This window comes from Homo sapiens, chromosome 15 (genome assembly GCF_000001405.40).
Source record: "Homo sapiens chromosome 15, GRCh38.p14 Primary Assembly".
Taxonomy (NCBI): domain Eukaryota; kingdom Metazoa; phylum Chordata; class Mammalia; order Primates; family Hominidae; genus Homo; species Homo sapiens.
The window spans coordinates 68,926,813-68,953,749 of NC_000015.10; the positions used below are offsets into that span (position 1 = coordinate 68,926,813).

Genomic DNA, 26,937 nt, shown 5'->3' on the forward strand with positions numbered 1-26,937 from the left:
TGTTCTCCTCCAATCTCATTTCTCTTTCTGGAAGTAAGCACTATTATCAGCTTACTGTGTTTCCTTCCAGAATGATTTCAGATGAATTCATGGAAATATGTAACTGGTGTAATTTTGCATAAGTGGATATATGTGTTTTTCTGAACTTTTTTACTCAACACCATATTTTAGAGAATTTTATATGTTAGCACATAGACCATGGAGTACAGAGCTACAACATTTTTTTTTTTAAACTGGAATTCCACAATTAGGATATACCTTGGCTATTTCACCGTTTCCTTTTTAATGGTTAACAAGATGAAAACTGCTAAAGTCTTATTGGGGTTTTTATAACCAAACAAGGGAAAAACGACTCCAACTCTGGGCCTAAAAGACATCCTACTTGAACCTCTCACTTGCAGTTCCTCATTCAATCCCCAAACTGCAGTGTGTTTCACAAATCCAGTCTCCTAAGTGAAGGGAAAGCAGGAAACCCTTGACGAATTCAGTAGTAATACAATGAGATAAGTATGTGCTGTGATTCTTAACTCCTAGCCTTCTCCAAAGGGACCAGTGATCATCTAGGGATAAATATGCACTGAAAAAAAAGGAAAATCGCAGTATGCCACAGTAGTTCACTGGTTAGAGTGGGGTTTACAGGGGTGAAGTAATTAAAGGAATTTTAACCCAAGTCCACCTTACAGTAAGTTCGATGGAACCCTAAACCCTTCCAGTGTTTTTTCCCCAATTCCTGAGTGTACATTTAAAGGACATAAGGCAGAATCTTCACATTGGTTTCCTAACCTTTAGAACAAGGGTGAGCAAGATAGAAAAGACTATGAAGAATCCACAGAGCTTTATTACACTCTCCAACCCCCAATCAAAATAGTAATGCACAAGTTATAACAATCCCTTGTTGACTAGCTATAGTGTCACCCTAAAATATCTGAATCAATTATCTTAATTTATACCTGCCTTCCAGCTTGACTGGTAATGAAAACAGATGGACCTGGAAGAATGACTGACAATTATTAACTCAATTAAGTAGTGTACCCAACTGCAGGTGCCTTTCCAAGCATGGTCTCTTTCAAGGAACAAATCAACAGAGACCCTTGTATGTAGCTATTGCTTACGCAAATGCTTTCTCCTCCTCCATTTAACAAGCACTTACTGTCTTACAGTTTCTGTGAGTCAGGAATCTAAGCGTGGCTTAGCTGGGTGCCTCCATCTCTGGGTTTCTCAGGCAGCTACAATCAAGATGTCAGCCGGGCTGTGGTCAACTCCAGGCTCACCTGGGGAGAATCTATTACCAAGTTCACTCACCTGATTGTTGTCAGGCCTCAGGTCCTTACTGGCTGTTGGCTGGAGACATTGGTTCCTCAACATGTGTCCGGAATTGGTGGGTTCTTGGTCTAACTTAAAGAATGAAGCCGTGGATCCTCGTGGTGAGTGTCACAGTTCTTAAAGGCAGCATGTCCGGAATTTGTTCCTTCTGATGTTCGGATGTGTTTGGAGTTTCTTCCTTCTGGTGGATTCGTGGTCTAGCTGGACCAGGAGTGAAGCTGTAGACCCTCATGGTGAGTGTTACAGCTCTTATGGTGGCCCATCTGAGTTGTTCATTCATCCCGGTGGGTTCGTGGTCTCACTGGCTTCAGGAGTGAAGCGGCAGACCTTCGCAGCGAGTGTTACAGCTTATAAAGGCAGTGTGGGCCCAGAGTAAACAGCAGCAAGAGTTATTGCAAAAAGCGAAAGAACAAACCTTCCACACGACAGAAAGAGACTCCATAGGGTTACTACTGCTGGCTCGGGCAGCCTGCTTTTATTCCCTTATCTGGCCCCACCCACATCCTGCTGATTGGTTCACTTTACAGAGAGCTGATTGGTCCGTTTTGACAGGGTGCTGATTGGTGCATTTACAATCCCTGAGCTAGACACAAAAGTTCTCCAAGTCCCCACTAGATTAGCTAGACACGGGGTGCTGATTGGTGCATTTACAAACCTTGAGCTAGACACAGAGTGCCCATTGGTGCATTCACAATCCCTTAGCTAGACATAAAGGTTCTCCAAGTCCCCACCAGACTCAGGAGCCCAGCTGGCTTCACCCAGTGGATCCCACACCCAGGCGCAGGTGGAGCTGCCTGCCAGTCCCCGGCCCTGCGCCCGCACTCCTCAGCCCTTGGGCGGTCGATGGGACTGGGCGCCGTGGAGCAGGGAGCGGCGCTCCTCAGGGAGGCTCAGGCATGGCAGGCTGCAGGTCCCGAGCCCTGCCCTGCGGGGAGGCAGCTAAGGCCTGGCGAGAAATCGAGCACAGCAGCTCCTGGCCCAGGTGCTAAGCTCCCCCCAACTGCCCGTGGCCAGCGGGGACGGCCGGCCGCGCTGAGTGCCGGGCCCACCGAGCCCGCCGAGCCCACGCCCACCCGGAACTCGGGCTGGCCCGCAAGCGCCGTGCGCAGTCTCAGTTTCCGCCGGCGCCTCTAGTCTTGCTTCCCTCCAGTCCATTCTTCATGCTACAGGAAGAGTGAGTTTTCTGGAATACAAATCTAATCACAACCGTTCCCAGCTCAAAACCTAGCAGTACTCTAGTACTGGTGCCTCAGACTAAAATCCAAGCCCCTTGCTTCCTGAGGCAGAGATGAGTGTACGTGAATTTTTAAAAATAACCATACAGAAAAACAGATTCTTTGGGATGTGCAGTTCTGCGAATTTTTATTTTTATTTATTTTTTTGAGGTGGAGTCTTGCTCTGTCGCCCAGGCTGGAGTGCAGTGGCACGATCTCGGCTCACTGCAACCTCTGCTTCCCGGGTTCAAGTGATTCTCCTGCCTCAGTCTCCCAAGTAGCTGGGACTACAGGCGTGTGCCACCACCCACGCCTGGCTAATTTTGTATTTTTAGTAGCCACGAAGTTTCACTATGTTGGTCAGGCTGGTCTCGAACTCCTGACCTCAGGTGGTCCGCCCACCTCGGCCTCCCAAAGTGCTGGGATTACAGGAGTGAGCCACCGTGCCCGGCCTTCTGTGAATTTTAACACATGTATAGATTCTTGTGGCCACTGCCATCTATTAGTCCCCAAAACAACCTCATGCTATCCTTTCATAGTCGTACTCTCCCTCATCCCTACCCCTATCTTTTTAAGAAGGTCAAAGAAATGGAATGTGATCTTTTGAAAAACAAAAACACCCAAGCCCCTTAGGGCGTTTTTAATGCCCTTGCCTACCTCTCCTCCCTGTCCTCCAACAACTGCCCTCCCAAGCCCCACAATGCAACTCGCCGGAACTATGCTCAGTTCTTGGGGTGCTCCAAGCTGTCCTCCACTTAGCCAAGCTCCCCACCCGCTTCCGGGGGTGGGTTTCCACTGTGCACAACAGTACCTAGCGCTTCCCCCACTACAGCCCCCTTTCACGCTGTGGTAATTGCCAGGTTATCTGCCTCTCCCATTACAGTTCCTTCCTCACAGGGACCGCGTTTAAACCACGGCGGTATCCCTACCGCGCAGGATGGGCCGAGCCCCGCACGCCCCGAGGCAGCACCCCGCACGCAGTAGCCGGGCGTCGAGGCGTTCCCAGCCCACACCAGGCGCGGACCTACGAAGGCGGAGCGAGCATGCGCACTAGGAAGGGGCGGGGCGGGGCGCGCGCGATCCCCCGCCCCCTGCACGCGGTCCCAGGAGGGGCGGGCCTTGGCCGCTCGCTCTCCCCTCCCCCATGCCGCTGCGCTTGCGCGCTGGGGACAACCGTTGCTGGGTGTCCCAGGGCCTGAGGCAGGACGGTACTCCGCTGACACCTTCCCTTTCGGCCTTGAGGTTCCCAGCCTGGTGGCCCCAGGACGTTCCGGTCGCATGGCAGAGTGCTACGGACGACGCCTATGAAGCCCTTAGTCCTTCTAGTTGCGCTTTTGCTATGGCCTTCGTCTGTGCCGGCTTATCCGAGTGAGTGACGGGCCTGAGGAGGCAGCGGACCGGGGACACCCTGGGGGAACTTCCCGAGCTCCGCGACCTCGAAGCCTGGCCCTTCCTTCTCCCTGGTCCTACATGCCTCCCTCCCCCACTGTCCGGGGTCCTGGCCTCGACGCCGAGGGGTGTCCCTCTCCTCTCCTGGTCAGGGAACGCAGCAACTGAGGCGGCGCGGCCCAGATGAGACGGGAAGCGCCTGCGGGCCGTGGGCGCGGGTGGAACCCCCTCACCTCACCGGAGGCCTTCCTCTGCCCACCCGATCCTTCCCCAGCCATTGGGCGTGTGACCGTGCAGGGGTCGTGTGACAGCTGCTGGCCAGCTAGGAATGATTTTTACATTTTCTTCCTTTTTTTTTAATTATTATACTTTAAGTTCTAGGGTACATGTGCACAGCGTGCAGGTTTGTTACATATGTATCCATGTGCCATATTGGTGTGCTGCACCCATAACTTGTCATTTACATTAGGTATATCTCCTAATGCTATCCCTCCCCCCTCCCCCCACCCCACGGCAGGCCCTGGTGTGTGATGTTCTATTTTTGCATTTTCAAAGTAAATATGAAATGTACTCTTTCATGACTTGTGGAAAAGCATGACGCTCACATTTCATTGTTCGTGAATAAAGTTTTACTGGCACACCACCACGCTCATTCCTTTACGTATTGCCCATGGCTGCTTTCCCACGTTAGAACAACGGGGTTAAGTGGTTGCCACACAGTCTGGTCTGCAAAGACTGAAGTATTTACTCTCTGGCCCTGTACAGAAAAAAAGGTTGACCCGTACGGTAAAATTTGGAGAGCATGTGGATTGTGGGTCGCGGTCTGGGACACTCACCTGAGGATGCGCTCCCAGAGAGCATGCTTGCGCACACGGCATTCAAAGCCTTAGTTAAGCAGGATTATAACTTAAGACCTGCCAAGGAGCAATTTTTGTCCCTCCCCGAAAGCTGAAAACCAATAAGGTCAAATTCAGGGGTGCTAAGACTTTACTATATTAACAATATCATGTGGGCACCTTAAGGCACTTAGTATTTAAGTCAGGTAGGTGAGGCTTCCCCATTTAGTCTAACTGTAGTTCATTGTGGCATTTAGTAATGTTGGAGTTTGGTTTCACTTAAATCAATAAATACAATTTAACAGGTGTAAAAAAAGCGCTATCGTGCATGCTGATTATGCAAATCTATTTTTCAGAATTGCTAAACGATCTTAGTTAAAAATCAAATTTAAAAACTGAAAATACAACACAATCTAAATTATGAATAGTAATGGGAAAAGTTCTAGATGAAGTTCTAGGTAACTAAAGTTAGCTCTTTAAATACTAGCATTTATGATTTGTAGCTGTTTTTAATAAAAAGTTTTGTAAAATTTTTCTTCCTTGACATAGAGGACCAGAACATAATGAAGATGCTACTATCTTTTCTTGATGTCTGATGATCATTATTACTAACACCAGTTATTGCATTTTGGTAGTTGTAGATCAGCAAGTCACAAGTGACTAACATATATGGAGACTTTAACTGAAGTGACTTTAACACTGTCACACAGTACACTCTGGGACTGCTAGGTAGGAGTCCCTGGACACCCACTTAACTCAGTGCAGTCTCTTGCCTAACACCATAATTTTCCCCTCCCCCTCCCCTTCCCTTTTCCCCCCCTTTTTTTTTTGCCTGAGACAGGGTCTCACTCTCTAGCTCAGACTAGAGTGCAGTGGCCCGATCTCGGCTCACCGCAACCTCTGCCTCCCAGGCTCGAGGGATTCTCCCACCTCAGCCTCCTGAGTAGCTGGGATTATAGGCGCACGCCACTACCGCCTGGCTAATTTTTGTATTTCTAGTAGAGACGGGGTTTCACCATGTTGGCCAGGCTGGTCTCGAGCTCCTGACCTCAAATGATCCATCCGCCTCGGCCTTGCAAAGTGCTGGGATTACAGGCTTGAGCCACTGTGCCCAGCCAGCCTGTTGTCTTTCTTAGCACCCTATTCCCTAATCTTTCTTGGGAAGAAAGAAAAGGGTTGTAGGAAATGAAAAGACGCTTCCCAGAAAAAAGGAGTGATTTTGTGTTGAATATATAGATGTTATAAGACATAAGGAAACTATATACAGGTTGTAATCATAGAAGATGTCTTGGAATATGTAATTACCTTTCTTCTACAGAAGTGGATTAAGGAATATATAGAGCAGGCAGTGGTACATGGCTGCTTTCTCTGTATCTGTCTCTCTACTTTTTCTCTAATTTTAATTTTGTTTTTAAAATAAGTATACCAAAATGCGTATATCATTGAGCTTGATGTAAATCAGCTATGCATTCTTTTATATGGCCACTATTCAAACAATTGTTGGCGAGATGCAAAAGATAAGGTACATAGGTTTTTATAATGAAAAGTGCAGCTTTGACACATTTTTTCTAGACTACTAGACAGTTTTGAGGTTATTACGCAAACATCACGGGTGTATTAAGTAATTGCATTTATTGAAAACCTCAGTACTTCTTGTATCTGCCTATACCTTTCTAACAGGCCCAATCCAAGCTTAGCTAGTATTTGTTTAATCTAAATTCAGTTAGACATAAATGCAGCTTGGGTATACAGAAGTCGGCACTCCTTTACATACACACACACACATCCTGATGGTGCTGGAGAAACAACGTTTTACTATATAAAATTTTTATACATTCAGTTTCCTCTACCTGATTTTTCCATAGTTTTAAATACTTTGCCATTTTTAAATTTTTGAATGGGAAAGTATTTAATGTATTCCCTCTTTAATGTATTTGCACTGTGCAACTTACTTTACTTTTTAATGAGAATTCTTTTTGCTTTAAAAAAAAAAAAATGCACAGGCCGGGCACGGTGTCTTACACCTGTAATCCCAGCACTTTGGGAGGCTGAGGCGGGCAGATCACCTGAGCCCAGAAATTCAAGACCAGGCTGGGCAACATGGCGAAACCCCGTCTTTACAAAAAATACAAAAATTAGCCAGATGTGGTGGGGCAGGCCTGTAGTCCCAGCTATTCGGGAGGCTGAGGTGGGAGGATCACCTGAGCCCAGGAGGTAGAGGTTGCAGTGAGCTGAGATGGCGCCACTGCATTCCAGCCTGGCTGACAGAGTGAGACCTTGTCTCAAAAAAAAAAAAAAGCACAGTAACTTCTAAAGTAATATTAACATAATAGTTACATATTTAAATAATATCAACTACTATTAAAATTATATAATTGGCCTTTTTAAATTTTAAGTCATCAAATATTCATGGGCTGGCAGTGCAAACTAATTAAAATTAAAGTGTGTTAATATTAATTTAATATTAATATATGTTAATTTTTAAATGATTCAAACTTTGCATAATAAGTATAAATAAAATTAAAATATTAATTTTGGGGTATCTCCCAAATAAATTATTTCCTCTAGATCATCTCTTGGTATAGACTAGGAAAAATAGGGTTAGTCTAGGATTACAAAAGCTCTTATTTCTAGATTGGTATTATAAGAAGGCTCAATGTATCAGTCTTTGGCTTCTGTCATTGTGTTTAGGAAGGATTTTGTCCTAATGAACCACAGAAGGTAAGGGAAACAATAAGGCAGCAACCAGCAACAATTGTTTGAATCTATCACCAAATAAATTAAGAGGAAAAGAATATTCTTTTATTTCAAATACATTCTAAAGGTAAAGTTCACTGAGTTCTGGTGCTGCAAGTTCACTTAGCTAGTGCCCAAGGCTACAGCATTTAAAAGGTCTCTCAAACCTGTGAATAAACTGTCATGACACACTTTGTTAATGTTTGAGATAATGAGGAGCATGTCATCCAATAGGCAAGTGTCAAGAGAGTATTCTGTGGGGGAGTAGCAGGAAGTTTCATTAGCCTGTCCATTGATGTTTTATGGGGGAAAAAAGTCCTGTCTTTCTGTTCTGTTGATCATATTATCCCTTAAATGGATATACTTTAATCTCTTGATAATATATGTGAAATTAAACTTAAGCAACATTTTTTATCTCCAAATAAAATACTAGTTATTTGAAAAGAAAATATTTTCTTTTTTTTTTAGTATCACTATATATTTGAAGCATTTTAAAAACACACAATTTATTTAACCTAAGTATAGTTTTTTCCGAGCCTCAAATATTCATACCTTGACCATTTGGAGCCATTGTAAGCTGTCTTCTCTTGTTCTTTTGATAGGATCCCATATATTTTTAAAGACTTCTTGTTTTCTGATGTTAACTGATTGTTCCAAGCCCACTTTGTGTCTTTCCCACTCTATCTTTCTCACTCTGAATGGAATTAACTGTCTTTCCAAGGGGATGGAGAACATGGTATGAGAGACCAAAGTGCCTGCGATACATACTAGACTACTGCAGTGGGGAAATATTGTTATTTTTGTCATTTTAGTGAACAGAACTAGAAGAGAAAGATTTAAAATAATGAGTTTATTTTGGTTTCAATTATAACATTACTCATAGGATGCATCTTGATTTTTAACTCTTTATCCGCACTAGAATTGTAACATAATTTAATAAGGCTATTTTGGTTGTGTATTGTGGCAAAAATGACTGCTCCCCAAATTTATCATTTTTCATGATTCTATGGGTTCACTAGACTCAGCTGGGCAGCTCTGCTTCATATGGTATAGCTGAGGTCACTCATGCAGCTGCATTCAGCTGGAAGTTCAAATGGATAGGAACATCCCAGATGGCCTCTCATCCTCCAGGGTCTTTACATGACTTCTCATCTTTCAGTACTCTAGCCCAAGTTTCTTTACACCATGGCAGCTTGCTTCCAAGAAGGAGATTTATAAGCCCCAACATGGATGCTCTTACGAAGCCTACACTGTATCAGACTTGCTAATGTCCTATAGGCCAAGACAAGTCACATGGGGCAAGCCCATATCCAATGTCAGAAGACACTACCCAAGAACATGAATAGCAGGAAGTGTAAAGCCATAAAGTTACATTTCTTTAACTGGAACACTTGATTAATATGAACATAATTACTTGTTTATTTACCTGTCAGCAAAAATTAAGATTTGTGTAATAATAAATTATAAGAAAATTGCTGGATGAATAAGAAGATTTAATATTTCCTTTTATGACCATTCCTTGAGTACACCTCAGTAATTAAGCACAATTATTACTACTTTGAGTTGGAAATACAGTACTCCAGCTCAGTTCGTTTTAAAATTTTAACCTTCATAAAAGTTCATTTTAATTTGAAGGTGTTGGATATTTTAACTGGTAGTTCTTGCATTATTACAGCTTTCAGTTATTAATTCTTACTTTAGTACTTAACTGCTGTAGAATAAGGGAAGTTTATTCTTTATGAGTCCACTTCATGGTATGTATAGAAAATACAAGCAATTTGTTCTCCAAAGTTATGGACATTCAGCCAGAGTGTGTGGACCATCTATAAGTGATGGATGCTTGGGTATATGTTTAAGTTTTATATACATGAGTTCTTTATGGATAAAGCCATTTTGTTTTCACTATCATTGTAATAAAAATCCTAGTTATATTCAAATCTTTAACAAAATGAGCATCCATAATTGGTGATTAAATTTTGGGTGCAATCAGCAGTTGCCATATCAAGGCTACTGGCCAAGGGCAAAGTAGAAATGTATGTGTATCTACACAATGAAATATTATTTGGCCATAAAAATCAATGAAGTACCGATACATGCTACAACATAGATGATCTTGAAGACATTACGCTAAGTATAAGAAGCCACTCACAAAAGGACACATATCGTATGAGTCCATTTATATGAAATGTCTAGCATAGGCAAATGCGTAGCTACAGAAAGTAGATTAGTGGTTGTCCAGGGTCTGGGGGATAAGGGATATGGGAAATGGATTTTACTGTGGGATGACAAAACTGTTTTAAACTTAGATTGTGGTGGTGATTGCACCACTCTGGACATACTGAAAACCATTGAATTTCATACTTTAAGATAAATAAAAGGTAAATTATGGAGGTATTTTAATATTAAGATTGTGATTTACTTACATTAAAATTATGTCAATGCAGTATTACTTTAGAGATTGATAAAATTCAATGAAAGGTAATTAGTAGAACATAAGTTTATGTGATCTAAACTTACATTAGGCTATTTAGTAAGGGGCAGTTACAAGAAGTATGGGGGCTCTCTGAGAAATGGAGCTATTTCACCATGATGTTTATGATGTTATTTTATATAAACTTCACACTTAGAAATTTAGAAAGACGTAGTAAGCTGTGTCTTTTATTATAAAAAACTGCTTACTTTGCCTAAAATAAAAGAACATTCTTATTACTCATTTAAAATTTTCTCTGTAATAATTATTGGACAATTAGCCAGAAACTGCTCCCCACACAATAGTTTTTAGACTAACAGATTTATTTTTAAACATAACATGAAGTCTAGTTTTCTTCCTCTGTATTCTTCTGTAGAAATGTTTTACCTGTGATTATCTTAGTAAGATAAATTACTAGAAGTGCAATTAATTTACATACCTTCCAGCATTCTGTTCATTCATTCAGTTATTCATACTTTTTGACTGTCTAGTATGGTTCTAGGCACTGGGTAAAACAGAGTATATAATGAACAAATTAGATGTGTCACAGCTCTCAAAGAGCTTACTAAGTGTAACAGTTAACAAATATTAAACTAACAAATACAGTTAGAACTGTCTAAATTCTATAAAGAAAAGATCAGTATGCTAGAGAGAGACTAAAGAAGGATCTAGGGATCAAAAGGGGAGTAAGGATGGAACTTATTATTTTTTTTCTTTATTTCTTCTAAAAAAAAAACAGGATCCATGTGTAGAACGTGCAGTTTCTTACATAGGCATACGTGTGCCATGGTGGTTTGCTGCATCTATTGGCCCATCCTTTAAGTTCCCTCCCCTCACCCCCCACCCACCAACAGGCGGTGGTGTGTGTTCTCCAGGGGCTGGGGTATAGGGGATATGGGAAATGGGTTTTATTGTTCTCCTCTCTGGGTAGGAGGGAACTTATTTTACTAAGGAAGTAACATATACACATGCCAGTCCTAGGTTTTATCATTTAAAAATATTTGCCTACTTGACTGGCAAAACAAAAATTGTTTTTAATTTGCATATCTTTTATGAACAATGAATTTTAGCAAGTTTTCATGCAAATTGGCTTTTATGTTATTCTCTTCCTCCTTTAATTGGTCATTCTATGAAAAGGAAATATATTTCACATGTATTATTTATTGAGTGAAGTTTTAAATTTTATTTATTTATCTATTATTTTATTTTATTTTTTTGAAATGGAGTTTCACTCTTGTCCCCCAGGCTGGAGTGCAATGGCACAACCTTGGCTTACTGCAACCTCTGCCTCCTGGGTTCAAGCGATTCTCCTGCCTCAGCCTCGAGAGTAGCTGGGACTACAGGTGCATGTCACCATGCCCAGTTAATTTTTGTATTTTTAGTAGAGATGAGATTTCACCATGTTGGCCAGGCTGGTCTCGAACTCCTGACCTTAGTTGACCCACCCAAAGTGCTGAGATTACAGGCGTGGGCCACCAAGCGCAGCCTGAAATTTTATATTTCATTGCTCATTTTAAATCATGATTTTATTATTTTCCTCATAATAAACTCAAAAGTAATTAACTTGCCTTTTATTTCTGTGTGAACGGGATGTATTTTTTTGTAAGTCATTGATTGTCAGTTACTTGTACTTTGTAGTAAGAAAATACTGTATTTGGATTATTTTCAATATTACTAGATACATCTTAATATGCGAAAGGGATGCATTTTGGTCCATTTGATGATAGAACAAAATTTGGTCATATTTAATTTAATTTAATTTTAATATTTACATGTAGTTTAAAATATTTTGGTCCAGTTGACAGCACAATTTCGGATACTATATTTATTTATTTGATTTTATTTAATGTTCACATGTATTTTAAAACAGAGTAGTATCCCTGCAGAATAATTTTATCACAACACTAATACAGCTTTGCCAGCATCCTTGTGTCATTTCTTTATGACAACATTGTGTGGTTGTTACAAGCACCTGCTTTGAAGTAAGGCAGCCTGTGTTCAAATCTCATCCTTACTTATAAGTTGAATATAATCTTAAGCAAATTGCTTATCCTTTCTAAGTCTCTTCCTTTTCTTCTTTGACAAAGTACTTCTCACAGTCAAAGCTCTGGGTATAGTGCCTGGCACATAGTGATCATTCAATCAGTGGAAGCTATTAGGATCTTTTAAATCATTATCTTCCATTTCCCCTTTGGATTTCCTACCACTTTTGTTCCTACAGTTATTTAGTACCATTTTGTTTACTTTCTTACCATTTCTGTTGTGTGACAGTTCTTCCTGTACTATTTCAAGAAGAGAAGTGCAGGCAACCTCAGGCTCACCTTCAGGCCCCATATCTGAGATTCCAGCAAAATCTCAAGCCTGCTTAGCAGTTAGCCATCCTGCTTATAAGAGGAACTGGAGAGCAGCATCATGGTTTCCCAAGCTGAAGATTCTTACCTGGGCCAGAGCCATGTTCTAGGACATTGCCATGTTTGCTTTAATCACTTACTGGTAAAAATAGATGGGATATTATAAAGTATACCAGTGTAGACTATGAATATCCAAGTATAATAACACAACTTCTAGCAAGATTGTCTGTTCCTTGTAAGAATTTGAATTTTGTTCAGCTTTCTAGCACCTCCTGAAGAATGGAGAAAAACAGGTTTTCACAGTGGCCACAGCCATCTGTAGGGACAGTTGAGGCTCCACTATCTTTTACTACCTTGACCTACAAACATTTTTATAAAGATCAAATTGATTTGCAAGAGCAGACCTGATTAGTAGAACTGAGAAGGTCAACATGAAATAGGGAGATGTTTTAGGGGACAAAAGCAGGAGGTAGAAGGTGTGTGGAGAGAGGATGGAATTAACAATAGAAAAATATGGAGCCAAGGGTACATGAAGAACAGAGGAAAATCGAGGTAGGAGGTAGTGCACTCTGTTGCTAGGCAGCCAAGAACAGGCTTTTGGGTGTTGCCTGAGTAACAATAGAAGGGGATAATAAATATTTCAGTTTGTTAAGGAATCAGCTAGTAGTAAGTATCTCCTTTTCCTGTCCTTTGGCACTCTAACTCACCTAATATCCACCTGGGTATCTTATTTACTACTTTGAGAAGAGGCAAGCTAAATGGTTGAAAAGCAAGTGTTTAGCAGCCTATAATCTAATGGCAATGTCTTTCTAAAAGCGTTGAAACCTTTGTTGGTTTTACATTTTAGATTTACTTATTATAGTTGCTCAGAATTAAAATCTTTTTCAGATTAAAAAAACATTTTATTACGGAAAAATTTAAATATGTACACAAGTACAAAGAATTACATAATCTCCACATATTTATAATAGCTTCAGTTATTATTACTATTATTAGCATTTCAGTAGTTTTTGGGGAACAGGTGGTTTTTGGTTACATGGGTAAGTTCTTTAGTGGTGATTTCTAGCTTTAGTTATTATTAATTCATGATTAATCCTATTTCATTGATAGCTCTACCCACATTCCTTTTCCTCTCACTTCCCTGGACACTCTCCCCAATTTCTCGGGCTTGGATTATGTAGAAGCGAATTCTAGACATCCTATAATTTTATCAGCAAATACTTCAGCATGAAGCACTAAAATATAAGGACTTTACAAAACACAAAACAATGTAATTTTTTACTTATAAAAATAATTCCTTAATATTATCAAATATCTGGTTAGTGTTTCTGATTGTCTTTCTCTTTTTCCAGTTTGATAGAATCAGAATTCAAGTAAGATTTATACATGTAACTTATTGATATACCTGTTAATTCTCTTTTAATCTATAGTTCTTCCTCCATCTCTGTTTTTTCCCTTGCAATTTAATTGTTGAAGAAACTGGGTCATACATCCTTTAGTTTTTCACAGTCTAGGTTTTGCTGATTACACCCCCATGGTGTAGTTTAATATTTCCCTTATTGTCCTATATATTTTCTGTATATTGTTAGTTATATCTAGGGAGACCTACTGGATTCAGATTTGACTTTTTTTTTTTTTTTTGCAAGACTACTTCATAGGTGGTGTTGTGTTCTTCCATCAAGAAATACATAACGTCGGATTTTTTGCCTTTTTAGGTATACATAGCCATAGAAAATTATTGCAAAATGATCATATTTTAATTATAAACGGCTTCTTTAATTATTAGCTGAAATAGTTTACAGATTGAAACCTTTCTTCCTTTTGAGCTATTTTTCCATATGCAATTGGGTCTATTTCTATATTTTCTGTTCTGCTCCATTCATCTGTTCATGGCCAATGCTATACTATTTTTCATAATAGAGGCTTTATAATATATTTAAATATTTGATTTTAATATCTGATAAGGCTAGGCTTTGTTTTCCTGGCTGTTCTTATTTGTTCTTCCAAATAAACTTTATAATAAAATTTTCTAACTCCAGAAAAAAATTGACATTTTTAGAAACATATTAAATGTATAAATTAAAAGAGAGGATATGACATCTAAGCATCTTTATGATGCTGAATCTTTTCATCTGAGAACATGGTATAGCTTTCTATTTGTTGATATTTATGTCTTTCAAAAGATTTTATTATATTCCTGTATTAGTTTACTGTAGCTCCTATAACAAATTACCACAAACTTGATGGTTTAAAACAGCAAAAATTTATTCTCACAGTTCTAGAGGCCAGAAGTCTGGAATCCATTTCCCTGAGCCAAAATCAAGGCATAGACTGGGCTATGCTCCTTCTGGAAACTCAAGGGAAAAATACGCTCCTTGCGTCTTCTAGTTTCTGGTGGCTGCCTACATTCCATGACTTGTGGCCACATCAGTCTAATCTCTGCCTCTTCCTCCACATTACCTCTTCCTCTTCTGGGTGTGTGTCAAATCTCTCTGTGTCTATCTCTTATAAGAACATTTGTGACTGGATTTAGAGTCCACCCAGGTAATCCAGAATAATTGCCCCATGTCAAGAAACTTAATTTAACCACATCTGCAAAGACACTTCTTTCTTAAGGTAATATTTACAGGTTCTAGGGTGATATCTTTGAATATTCATTATTTAGCCTACTATAACTCTTCATATTGATTTTGGCATGTTTTTAATATTTTATGGTTATGTATATATATAATGCCAGGCTGCAGTACAGTGGAAAGATCATGGCTCACTGCAGCCTCAGCCTCCCTAGGCTCAAGCAATCCTTTCACTTCAGCCTTCCCACTAGCTGGGAATACAGGTATGTGCCACCATGCCCAGCTAATTCTTGTACTTTTATACAGTTGGGGTTTCACCATGTTTCCCAGGCTGGTCTCGAACCCCTGGGCTCAAGCCATCCACCTGCCTCGGCCTCTCAAAGTGCTGGGATTACAGGTGTGAATCACTGCACACAGCCAATATTTTGTTTCATTTTTTCTGTTATGTAAACAACATCTTATTTCTTTTTTTTTTTTGAGACGGAGTCTCGCTCTGTCGCCCAGGCTGGAGTGCTTATTTCTTATATCTTCTAAGCAGTTTATATTTATATATTCATTTTGGTATATTGATTTTTATGACTTGCTATTTATGAAATTCTCTTACTAATTGTAGTAGCTTTTCAATGGATTCTTTTGTGTTATCTGTATTTATAATTCTATCATCTGTATGTAAACATAGTTTTACCTCTTTCTGTCCAATTCTTATGTCTCCAATTATTTTCCCTCATCTAATTGCATTGACTAGTATCTCCAACATGATGTTAAATATTAACAGTAATGAAGATATTAGGTATTCTTATCTTGTTCCTGTCTTTAGTGGAAAAGCTTCTACTGTTTCCCACTAAATAAGATACAAAGTATATTTTAATGTTCTTTTTAGGGAACATGTTTTTCTATATAATTTTAAGGGAAATTTATATTTAAAATGAGAAATGTAAGCAGTTACCTTTATAAAGAATAATATCTTATTAGTGATCTGTAGCTTTGAAAGTGTTTTAAAATATCTAATTTATTTGGTTCAGTGAGATAAAAAGGCAAGTGTAGTATCTTAGCTTTATAGTTAAGTGAATATCCAGATAAGTTAAATAATTACCTAAGGTCATGCTGCTATAAATTGGTAGAGCCAGGACCAGGATCAAATATTTTATTTTCACTGCACAAGGCATATTCATTTTACTCAATTATTTTCCTTCATGAAGACTCTGATTCAGGACAATGCATTTTATGAGTTTACATAAATAAGTTATTTTCCTTTTTAAAATGTGATTTTTATACAATTTTGGTTTGCCATTAAAAAATAAAGGAGAAAAAATTCTTGAAACTTAAAAAAATAAATGTGACTTATAATGGTTTACTATATTAAATGATTGGTGTGTGTGTGTGTGTGTGTGTGTATGTGTGTGTGTTTAGTGAGTAAAACATTATAGTTAAAGTCTAAAGTCTCCTCTACTGACCAAATTGAGTCCCACTGCCTCTCCTTAGAGGCAACTGCCCATATGAGTTTAGTACATTATCATTACAGTCCATTAAAAAAATCTGCAGTTCACAGACAAAATATATGATACTATGTGAGTGATTTTTAAAAAGTATTATAAGGATAACATCAAACTCTATGTTTTATGCTTTCTTTTTCACTTATCATCATCATATGGATCTTAGGAGTATACAAGGTTTTTCTAAGCATTACATAAAATGCAGAATTTACTTTTAGAATCAAGACCTCCAGACGTGTGGTATCTTTCCACTAACCACATTGGCTCACTAAACTGTTCTCATTAAGAATTTTTTAATAATCAGCTGTGGAATCTAGTGTAATTTCATTGATCAGCATCTGTTTTTGAGGTGAAATGGGTTAATATAAATTATATCTGTTTTCTCATTGGGCGTAAATGCAGAACTTCCACCTCAAGCAGCCACCCCCTGATTTTACAGTTTTTGGGGGTTCATTTTGTTTGGGGCTCTTTTCTGATGGCTGTTCTGTTCAAAACCAATCTATTCTGGCCACTGTTAAAGGTTTATACTCTCTGTGAATAAAGTAGGAATATGCTAGCAGTACGAAAGAGATTTTGTAAAACTGTTAATGCTAATTACAAATGGTGCTTCTAGTAAATAAAGCTGGCCTCCTTAAAACTCAAAAAAAAAAAGAATTTTTTAAGATTTAGAAATATGCCTTCAATTTTGATTAAACGTCGATCTGGTCTTTCTAAGTTGTAACAGAATAAAGAAGAGAGGAGAAACATGTAAATACAAAGCAGTTTTTGAGTATTTTGTGCTTACCAAAAAGCTAAATAAAAGTGCCTCCTGAACAGAAAGTTTACTTTATTTAGCCTGCAGGGGGATGGTTCAGGTAGGCGTAATGCATTAGTGTTTGGTAAAAAGTGATTTACTTCCCTGAATTAAATCAATTTGTATACTTGAAAATGGCAAACCTTAAAATTGCCCATGGTAAAAAACCATAGCACTTAAAATTAAAATACCCTGGTTCAGGAGTAGTTGAACAGAATTCCAGAATATCTTAATATCTTACTATCTTTTCTGTTCTCCACGTTGGAAATGAGAGGCTTTACTGCTCAGATGCTGCAAAATAGGAGTATAAATAGAACTACCTTTTTTTTTTTTTTTTGCTTATCAAAATATTTTATTTTAGGAGACCCCTCAAAAAAAGACTCTCCACATTAGATAGACGCCCCAACAATACCCTTGGGCTTTTTTTGTCTTTTCTGTATTTTTTCTTTTTTAAGTCAACTAAAACAATTTGATGCTTAAAATAAAAGACAGGAAATATTTCCTGACTAGACTTTAGTCAAGAATATATATATATTTTTGATCCGGGGGCAGGTGAGGAGAAGGAAGGTGCTGCCAGCGGTTCATGAAGTAGAACTACCATTTTGTTGTTAAGAGTGAAATGCTGATGATTTAGACCAGGAACTCACAAACTTTTTCTGTAAAGGGTAATATAGTATTTTCAGCTTTGCAGGCCATGTGGTCTCTTACAATTACTCTAGTGTTGCAGGCAAAAGCACCTGTAGATAATACACAAACAAATAGGCAAGACTCATTGGGTTCCAATAAAACGTTACTTACTAAAACAGTTGAGTGGATATGAGTCACAGACTATAGTTAGATCTTTGTTGGGTTGAAGGCAGTAGTATACTGGTAAATATTTAAAACTGGCTTTTCGGAGAGAGGAGGAAACTCTGATTTGTAGCATTTGCTCATTTACATGGCGTAGATACTCCAACCATGGTTGATTTCAAACTACCAAGTTGACATCACTGAGCAGGGAGGTAGAGATGCACAGTAGCACACCATTATATGCATTTTCATCATACAGATACACTAGATGTAAATAACCTCACAAGCATAGAAAATAGTAAAATAATTAGAAAGTGATGAGTTTGGGATATTTATTACCTTTGCTTTTAATATAATTTATTTGATTGTAAATGTAGATAAGTTAATTGTTAAATAATGTCTGTGTTTAACATCTGGCTCACAAAATTCATAAAAATTTAACAATGGGCTCTAGTCAACCAGTATAAGCCTACTCCAGCACACCACTGTGTTAGAGGACATAATCAAGAATTTTCGTTTAATAAGTTGCCTGTTGAATCATAAGTTATATGGGAGAATAAAAGCAAAAATATAGAGAGAATGGTGTTAATATGCAACTTTTGCACTAATCTTGCTCAACTGTTTTAATAAGAACCTGAAGAAATAATTTTGTTTATTTAAGTGAAAGTTGACTCTGTGTCAAAGGTGCTTTGCATATTGGTTCTTTATTTCAATTTTTAAGTGATAGCATATGAAATAAATTTTGGTCAGTAGATTCTGTCAGTGTGTCATATATAATAATAAATGTTACTTATTATTTATTTGATTTTTTCCCTGAAGGCATAACTGTGACACCTGATGAAGAGCAAAACTTGAATCATTATATACAAGTTTTAGAGAACCTAGTACGAAGTGTTCCCTCTGGGGAGCCAGGTCGTGAGAAAAAATCTAACTCTCCAAAACATGTTTATTCTATAGCATCAAAGGGATCAAAATTTAAGGAGCTAGTTACACATGGAGACGCTTCAACTGAGAATGATGTTTTAACCAATCCTATCAGTGAAGAAACTACAACTTTCCCTACAGGAGGCTTCACACCGGAAATAGGAAAGAAAAAACACACGGAAAGTACCCCATTCTGGTCGATCAAACCAAACAATGTTTCCATTGTTTTGCATGCAGAGGAACCTTATATTGAAAATGAAGAGCCAGAGCCAGAGCCGGAGCCAGCTGCAAAACAAACTGAGGCACCAAGAATGTTGCCAGTTGTTACTGAATCATCTACAAGTCCATATGTTACCTCATACAAGTCACCTGTCACCACTTTAGATAAGAGCACTGGCATTGGGATCTCTACAGAATCAGAAGATGTTCCTCAGCTCTCAGGTGAAACTGCGATAGAAAAACCCGAAGAGTTTGGAAAGCACCCAGAGAGTTGGAATAATGATGACATTTTGAAAAAAATTTTAGATATTAATTCACAAGTGCAACAGGCACTTCTTAGTGACACCAGCAACCCAGCATATAGAGAAGATATTGAAGCCTCTAAAGATCACCTAAAACGAAGCCTTGCTCTAGCAGCAGCAGCAGAACATAAATTAAAAACAATGTATAAGTCCCAGTTATTGCCAGTAGGACGAACAAGTAATAAAATTGATGACATCGAAACTGTTATTAACATGCTGTGTAATTCTAGATCTAAACTCTATGAATATTTAGATATTAAATGTGTTCCACCAGAGATGAGAGAAAAAGCTGCTACAGTATTCAATACATTAAAAAATATGTGTAGATCAAGGAGAGTCACAGCCTTATTAAAAGTTTATTAAACAATAATATAAAAATTTTAAACCTACTTGATATTCCATAACAAAGCTGATTTAAGCAAACTGCATTTTTTCACAGGAGAAATAATCATATTCGTAATTTCAAAAGTTGTATAAAAATATTTTCTATTGTAGTTCAAATGTGCCAACATCTTTATGTGTCATGTGTTATGAACAATTTTCATATGCACTAAAAACCTAATTTAAAATAAAATTTTGGTTCAGGAGTTTGTAGTTTTTTCTCATTAATTTTAAATGTTGTGAAGACCTTTACGATGTTTAAGCTTTGATTTTACTTGAATAGATTAGTTAAATTCATTCATTTTATGAGTTAAGAGACTGTGCTCTCTCTCACTCTATAGCTAGTTTTAAATAAAATAATTCTATAGACATACAGTGTAAAATTTTGGGGCATATGGTCTTTCTTATTCTTTCAGATAATCTGAGTTGTCTTTTTTTTTTTTGAGACAGAGTCTCAGTCTGTCACGCAGGCTCGAGTGCAGTGGTGCGATCTTGGCTCACTGCAACCTCTGCCTCCCGGGTTCAAGTGATTCTCCTGCCTCAGCCTCCTGAGTAGCTGGGATTACAGGCACCCATGACCACGCTTGGCTAATTTTTATATTTTTAGTAGAGACGGGGTTTCACCATGTTGGCCAGGCTGGTCTCAAACTCCTGACCTTAGGCAATCCACCCTCCTCGGGCTCCCAAAGTACTGGGATTACAGGCGTGAGCCAGTGCGCCCAGCGAGTTTTCTGTCTTAATAGCATAACTTGGAGCTTGTATCTGCACTTTTATTTGGATATAGGTGTGCCTCCTTTAAAATGTAGATACTATATTAAGATACATCTCTATTCTTTTGTCATTAAGTACTTTTGGAGTATCAATGAGGGACTGTAACCTGGATATGTAATGAAGTCATTCTCATTTCCTTTCTTTGTGTACATACACATTGAAGATTTTCAAATCTTTTGTCAAGAGAGTATGACTGACACCATTAAGGTTAACTGTGTAGTATTATAATAATGGCTCAGGTAATTCTGTTTATGATTTGACCAGTATTATATTCAAATACATTTATTTATTTGTTCATCAAGACATTCATTTATAGTTTGATAAAGATTTATTGACCTTTTACTATGTGCAGGACACAATAGATGCTAGGCTTTGGGGATACAAAAATAAGACCTACTTTCTTTTCTCTTTGACATTATATTATAGCGGGAAAGATACACACTAAACAAATAATTTCAAGAATTTTTAAATTTCAGTTGTGACAAATTATTATGAAGGTGTGAGGTGTTTGACCTCACTTAGACCAAGAATAATGGGAAAGCTACCCTGAGAAAGTGGCAATTAAGGTATAGTCTGAAAGATTAGGGTGTGTGTAAGGAGAAAGTGAACATTCCAGGGAGAGGGAACAGCAGGTATGAATACTGTGAGTTAAAAATAAGGATGAGAAGTTCAGGAAGTACCTGGAGTATAGAAAGGCAAGAAAGAGCATCACAAGATGGATCTGGTGACATATACACCAGGTCAGAATATATCCTGTGGCGCCTTCAGTGCGTTATTAAATGTTTTAGCCTTTACCCTGTGATCAATGAGAAGCCATTAGTGGATTTTAAGCAAAAAGGACTAGTATGTTCAAATATCTGTTAACAACAACCAAACCCACTCGCTGCAGTTTTGGAAGTGGGCAAAAGTAGAAGCGCACTGTGCACAGGCCAAATGTTGCTTGGAGTAGGTGGAAAGAATTGGCAATTAAGAGGGAGAATCAGGCCGGGCGCAGTGGCTCACGCCTGTAATCCCAGCACTTTGGGAGGCCAAGGTGGGCGGATCACCTGAGGTCAGGAGTTCAAGACCAGCCTGGCCAACATGGTAAAACCCCGTCTCTACTAAAAATACAAAAATTAGCTGGGCGTGATGGTGGGAGCCTGTAATCCCAGCTACTTGGGAGGCTGAGGCAGGAGAATTGCTTGAACGTGGGAGGTGGAGGTTGCAGTGAGCCGAGATTGCAGTGAGCTGAGATTGCAGTGAGCCGAGTTGCAGTGAGCCAAGATTGCGCCACTGAACTCCAGCCTGGGTGACAGAGCAAGACTGTTTTGGGTGGGGGGGGGAAGAGGGAGAATCAACAAGATTTGGTGATTGAATGGATATGGGGACTGTGCTAATAGCAGGGACCAAAAATAATTCCCACAATTAGTTGTATTGTAAAAAGTATTATATATAGGCTTTGTTTACTAAAAATACTCTTTTACTGTTATTTATAAAATAATTTTACTTTGGAAAATTTCAAAAATTTGCAAAAGTAAAGAATAATATAATGAATCCATGTACATGTCAACCTTAAAAAAAGACCTCATAGAGACAAGCTCTCTGAAACAAAAGATTTTAATTGGGAATAAAAAAGCGTTGCAATTTAGGGTACACAAGCCATGAAAATCATAAGCACACACACCAGGAAAATCAGGACAAAGGGAGTTTTTAAAGCAGGAGTCCACACAAACTGCTTTGAAACAAAGCTCACTGCAGGAGATAGGCCTTGGTAGGCGCCTGTCCTGGTCAGATCATATCAGAAATGCTGAAGGCCAAGGAAATGCCTGAGAATAAGCTCTGATTACAGGATACATCCAAGATGTATAGGTATTTCAAGAATGTAAGCAGGAGGATTTTTTCTTTATGACCTCCCCAGCTCCCATTTTTGATTAGGGCTTTGACATAAGTGACTCCATTTTGTTATTGTTCACTTCCACATACCCATCATCTAGTCTCAACAATCATCTAAAGACTAATCTTCTTTCATCTATATCCCTACCCCTTTCCCCTCTTCCTATTTTATGTTGAATTAAATCACGGATACTTTATCATTTCATCAGTAAAAATATAACAATGTGAAGCTCTGTAAGTTTTTTTTTTAAAAAAAAAAAAACATAACCACAATATCACACATAAAGGTTTAATGATTTCTGGCTGGGTGCAGTGGCTCACGCCAGTAATCCCAGCACTTTGGGAGGCCAAGGCAGGAGGATCATTTGTGGTCAGGAGTTCAAGACCAGCCTGGCCAATATGGTGAAACCCTGTCTCTACTAAAAATATAAAACATAGCTGGGTGTGGTGGTGCATGCCTGTCATCCCAGCCACTCAGGAGGCTGAGGCAGGAGAATAGCTTGGACCCAGGAGACAGGTTGCAGTGAGCTGAGATCATGTAACTGTGCTCCAGCATGGGCAACAGAGGGAGACTCCATCTCAAAAAAAAAAAAGTTTAATGATTTTTACTATCATCAAATATCTAGTCAATGTTCAAATTCCCAATTGTGAAATAATTTTTAAAATTTAGGGTTTATATGAATCGAGATTAAATAAAGTTCACACATTAAAATTGGTTGATTTGACTAATAAGTCTCTTTTAATCTAAAGTATTCCTTTATACCTCTTTTTTTTCCCCTTTAGGTTTATTTACTGAAGAAATTGGTCATTTGTCCTATAGTTTCCCACAATATGGATTTTGCTAATTGCATCCCCATAGTGCCATTTAGCATGTTCTCCTATCCTCTATCTTTTCTATAAATTGGTAGTTGGATCTAGAGAGGCTTCATCAAACTGAGGTTTTTTTTTTTCTTTCTCTTTCTTCTTTTTTTTTTTTTTTTTTTTTTTTGGCAAGATGCTGTTTTATTCTTCCATATGGTTGGGTCTCTTTTTGTATTTTTAGCAGACTTTTATGGTCATTGCCTAGATAGATTAATTGATCAGGTGATACAAAGTAGAGACATCATTCCTTCCATTATTATCTGGAATGTGTCTATAAAGAGAAACTTTCATCTATTATTTGATTCCCCAGTGGTCTAGTGTGTATTGGAAAGACATCAAATGCTTGAATCCCTTTGCTTAATAATTTCCAGAATAATTAGTTCATAGAATCTCCAATGATACTCTATTTTATTAGTAGCCTTTATTTTTTTCAAACAATTTTAGTTTTACAGAGAAATTGATCAGAAAGTACAGAGTTCTCACATCCGTCTCTCTCCTCCCTGACACATCTTGTATTGGTGTGGTACATTTGTTATAATTAATGAACCTACATTGACACATCATCATCACCTAAACTCCATAGTTTATACTAAGATTCGCTCTTGGTGTTTTACATTTTATGCATTTGGACAATTGTACATGTGTCCACCGTTATAGTATCACACAGAGTAGTTTCACTGCCCTAAAACCCTCTGTGTTTCATCTATTCATGCCTCTCTCTCCCCTAACTTCTGGCTGGCAACCACTGCTTTTTTTTTTTTTTTTCCATAATTTTGCCTTTTCCAGAATGTATATATAGTTGAGTAACTTATTTGAAATGTGTAGGACCAGAAGTGTTTTGAATTTTGTTTTTTTTTCAGATTTTGGTATTTGCATATACATAATGAGATATCTTGGGGATAGGATCCAAGTCTAAACATGAAATTCATTTATGTTTCATATATAGTTTATGCACAGAGCTTGAAGGTAATTTTCTATAGTACTTTTAATAATTTTGAACATGAAATAAGGTTTGTGTACATGACCCATCAGAAAGCAAAGGTGTCAATATCTCAGCCACCCATGTGGACAGTCTGTGGTTACTTAGCATCACTATCATTTCTGACTCTGAATTTATTTGCTACTGATAAGCGATTATTTTCTTACACTTATGCACACATAAGTACTTGACAGTAAAAACATGACATACTATTAATACAGTGAAAAAATAATGTGTCAGTTGTGGAATTTTTCACTTGAGATGTCCTGTCAGCATTCAAAAGCTTTCAGATTTTGGAACATTTTGGATTTTTGTTTTGTTTTGTTTTTTTGCTTTTTGTTTTGAGACAGAGTCTCACTCTGTTTCCCAGGCTGGAGTGCAATGGTGCGATCTTGCTCACTGCAACCTCCGCCTCTTGGGTTCAAGCAATTCTCCTGCCTCAGCTTCCTGAGTAGCTGGGACTACAGGCACGTGCCCCTATACCTGGCCAAATTTTTTTTGTGTGTATTTTTTTTAGTAGAGTCAGGGTTTTACTATGTTGGCCAGGCTGGTATCAAACTCCTGATCTCAAGTGATCCGCTGGCCTCGGCGTCCCAAAGTGCTGGGATTACGGGCCTGAGCCACAGCGCCCAGCCCATTTTGGATTTTGGATTTTCAGATTACGGATGCTCAGTCTGTAGTTGGAATCAATGCAGTCTGTAGCCTTTTCAGACTGGTTTCTTTCATTTAGTAATACACATGTAAGTTTCCTCTGTGTCTTTTAATGACTTGATAGTTTATTTCTTTTTGGTGTTGAATAATATTCTATTGTCTAGATGTACCACAATTTATTTATTCATTCACCTACTGAAGGACATCTTGGTTGCTTCTAAGTTTTGACAATTATGAATAAAGCTGACGTAAACGTTTATGTGCAGGTTTTTGTGTGGACAGAAGTTTTCAACTCCTTTGGGTAAACACCAAGGAGCATGATTGCTGAATCATACGTGATACGGTTTGAATGTGTGTCCCCTCTAAATCTCATGTTGAAATGTGATTCCCAATGTTGTAGATGGGGCTTGGTGGGAGATGACTGGATCACAGGGGCAGATCCCTTATGAATGATTTAGCATGATCCCTTTGGTGATAAGTGAACTCTTGCTCAGTTAGTTCATGTGAGATCTGGCTGTTTAAAAGTCTGGGACCTCCCCTCCTTGCTGTCTTGCTCCCACTCTCGCCATGTGATATGCTAGCTCTCTGTCACTTTGTGCCACGATTGTAAGCTCCCTCAGGCCCTCACCAGAAGTAGATGCTTGCACTACACTTCCTGTACAGCCTGTGGAACCGGGGGCCAATTAAACCTTTTTTCTTATAAATTACCCAGCCTCAGGTACTTCTTTATAGCAATGCAAGAATGGACTAATACAACGTGGTAAGAGTATGTTTAGCTGTGCAAGAAATTGCCAAACTGTCTTCCAAAGCGGCTGTACCATGTTTGCATTCCCACCAAACGAATGAGAGTTTCTGTTACTTCACATACCCGCCAGCATTTAGTGTTGTTAGTATTCTGCATTTTGGCCATTCTAGTAGGTGTGTAGTGATATCTTATTGTTATGATCTATTGCTTTTTAACCTTATTTTGTGATATAGATTCACATGTCTTATAGTTGTAAAAAATAATGCAGAGAGATCTAGTTAAATGTACCCTTTCCCTATTTCACCCAAATGTAGTTAAATTAGAGTACAATATAACAGCCAACATATAGATATTGGTACAAGATACAGAACATTTCCATCATCATAAAAATCTCTCATGTTGCTGTTTTATAGCCACACCACTTCCCCCCTCCCTGTCTAACCACCGGTAATCACTATTCTGTTCTCCATTTCCATAATTTTGTCATTTCAAGAATGTTGTATGAATGGCATCATACAGTACATAATCTTTTTGGGACTAATTTTTTTTCATTAGCTTAACTCTCTAGAGATTTATCAAGATTTTTGCATGTATCAACTCATTCCTTTTTATTGCTGAGTGGTACTCCACAGTTTAACCATTTACTTGTTTCAGAATTTCTGGATTGTTTCCATGTCTTGGCTATTAGAAAAGAAAAGCTGCTGACAGAATGGGAGAAAATATTTGCAAATTATATATCTGATACAGATTATATATAATCTGACATTCATATACAGGTGTTTGTGTGAACATAAGTTTTCATTTCTCTGGGATAAATGCCCAGGAGTGCCATTGTTGTGCAGTGTGGCAGTTGCATATTCAGTCTTATAAGAAACTGCCCAACTCTTTTCCAGAGTGGCTGTACCATTTAACATAACCACCAGCAGTGTATGAGTTTCTGTGTGCTTAATTCTGTGTGCTGAAATTTATTATGGATTCTTGCATGTATTAATGAGGGATATTGGCCTATAGTTTTCTTTTTGTTTTTGTACTGTCCTTCTCTGGTTTTGGTATCAGGATATTATCTTTATCAAATGAATTGAGGAGTATTCCTCTCTCTTCTATTTTATGGAAAAGATTTTGTAAATTGGTGTTAATTCTTCTTTCAACATTTGGTAGAATCATCGCCAGTGAACCATCTGGGCCTGGAGGTTTCTGTTTTGAGAGTTTTACCTCTATAAATTCAATTTCCTTAATAGTTTTAGGGTTATTGAAATTATTTTATG

General features: G+C 38.4%; 2 protein-coding genes across 4 annotated transcripts in view, besides 1 other annotated feature; both read left to right on the plus strand.

Annotated features, from left to right (window-relative positions):
- Positions 389–589: a silencer, noted in NCBI's record as "peak2374 fragment used in MPRA reporter construct". NCBI's record gives its function as "represses an SCP1 promoter by STARR-seq MPRAs in K562 erythroleukemia cells {active_cell/tissue: K562}" and the evidence as "EXISTENCE:reporter gene assay evidence [ECO:0000049][PMID:32103011]".
- On the plus strand, positions 3,713–19,999 carry SPESP1 (sperm equatorial segment protein 1). The gene is made up of 2 exons (NM_145658.4): positions 3,713–3,905; positions 18,787–19,999. Exons 1-2 carry the CDS (start codon positions 3,842–3,844, stop codon positions 19,773–19,775), a joined length of 1,053 nt encoding a protein of 350 aa, NP_663633.1. The 5' UTR covers positions 3,713–3,841; the 3' UTR covers positions 19,776–19,999.
- Positions 3,713–26,937, plus strand: part of SPESP1-NOX5 (SPESP1-NOX5 readthrough) — a 132,238-nt gene continuing 109,013 nt past the window's right edge. For all 3 annotated transcript variants that reach the window (NR_033671.3, NR_033672.2, NM_001184780.2), the window contains exon 1: positions 3,713–3,905. Coding sequence is in view for 1 of the 3 variants with exons in the window: in NM_001184780.2 (NP_001171709.1) it covers positions 3,877–3,905 (29 nt within the window). In the remaining 2 variants the exon portion in view is untranslated. The remainder of the gene's footprint in view (positions 3,906–26,937) is intronic.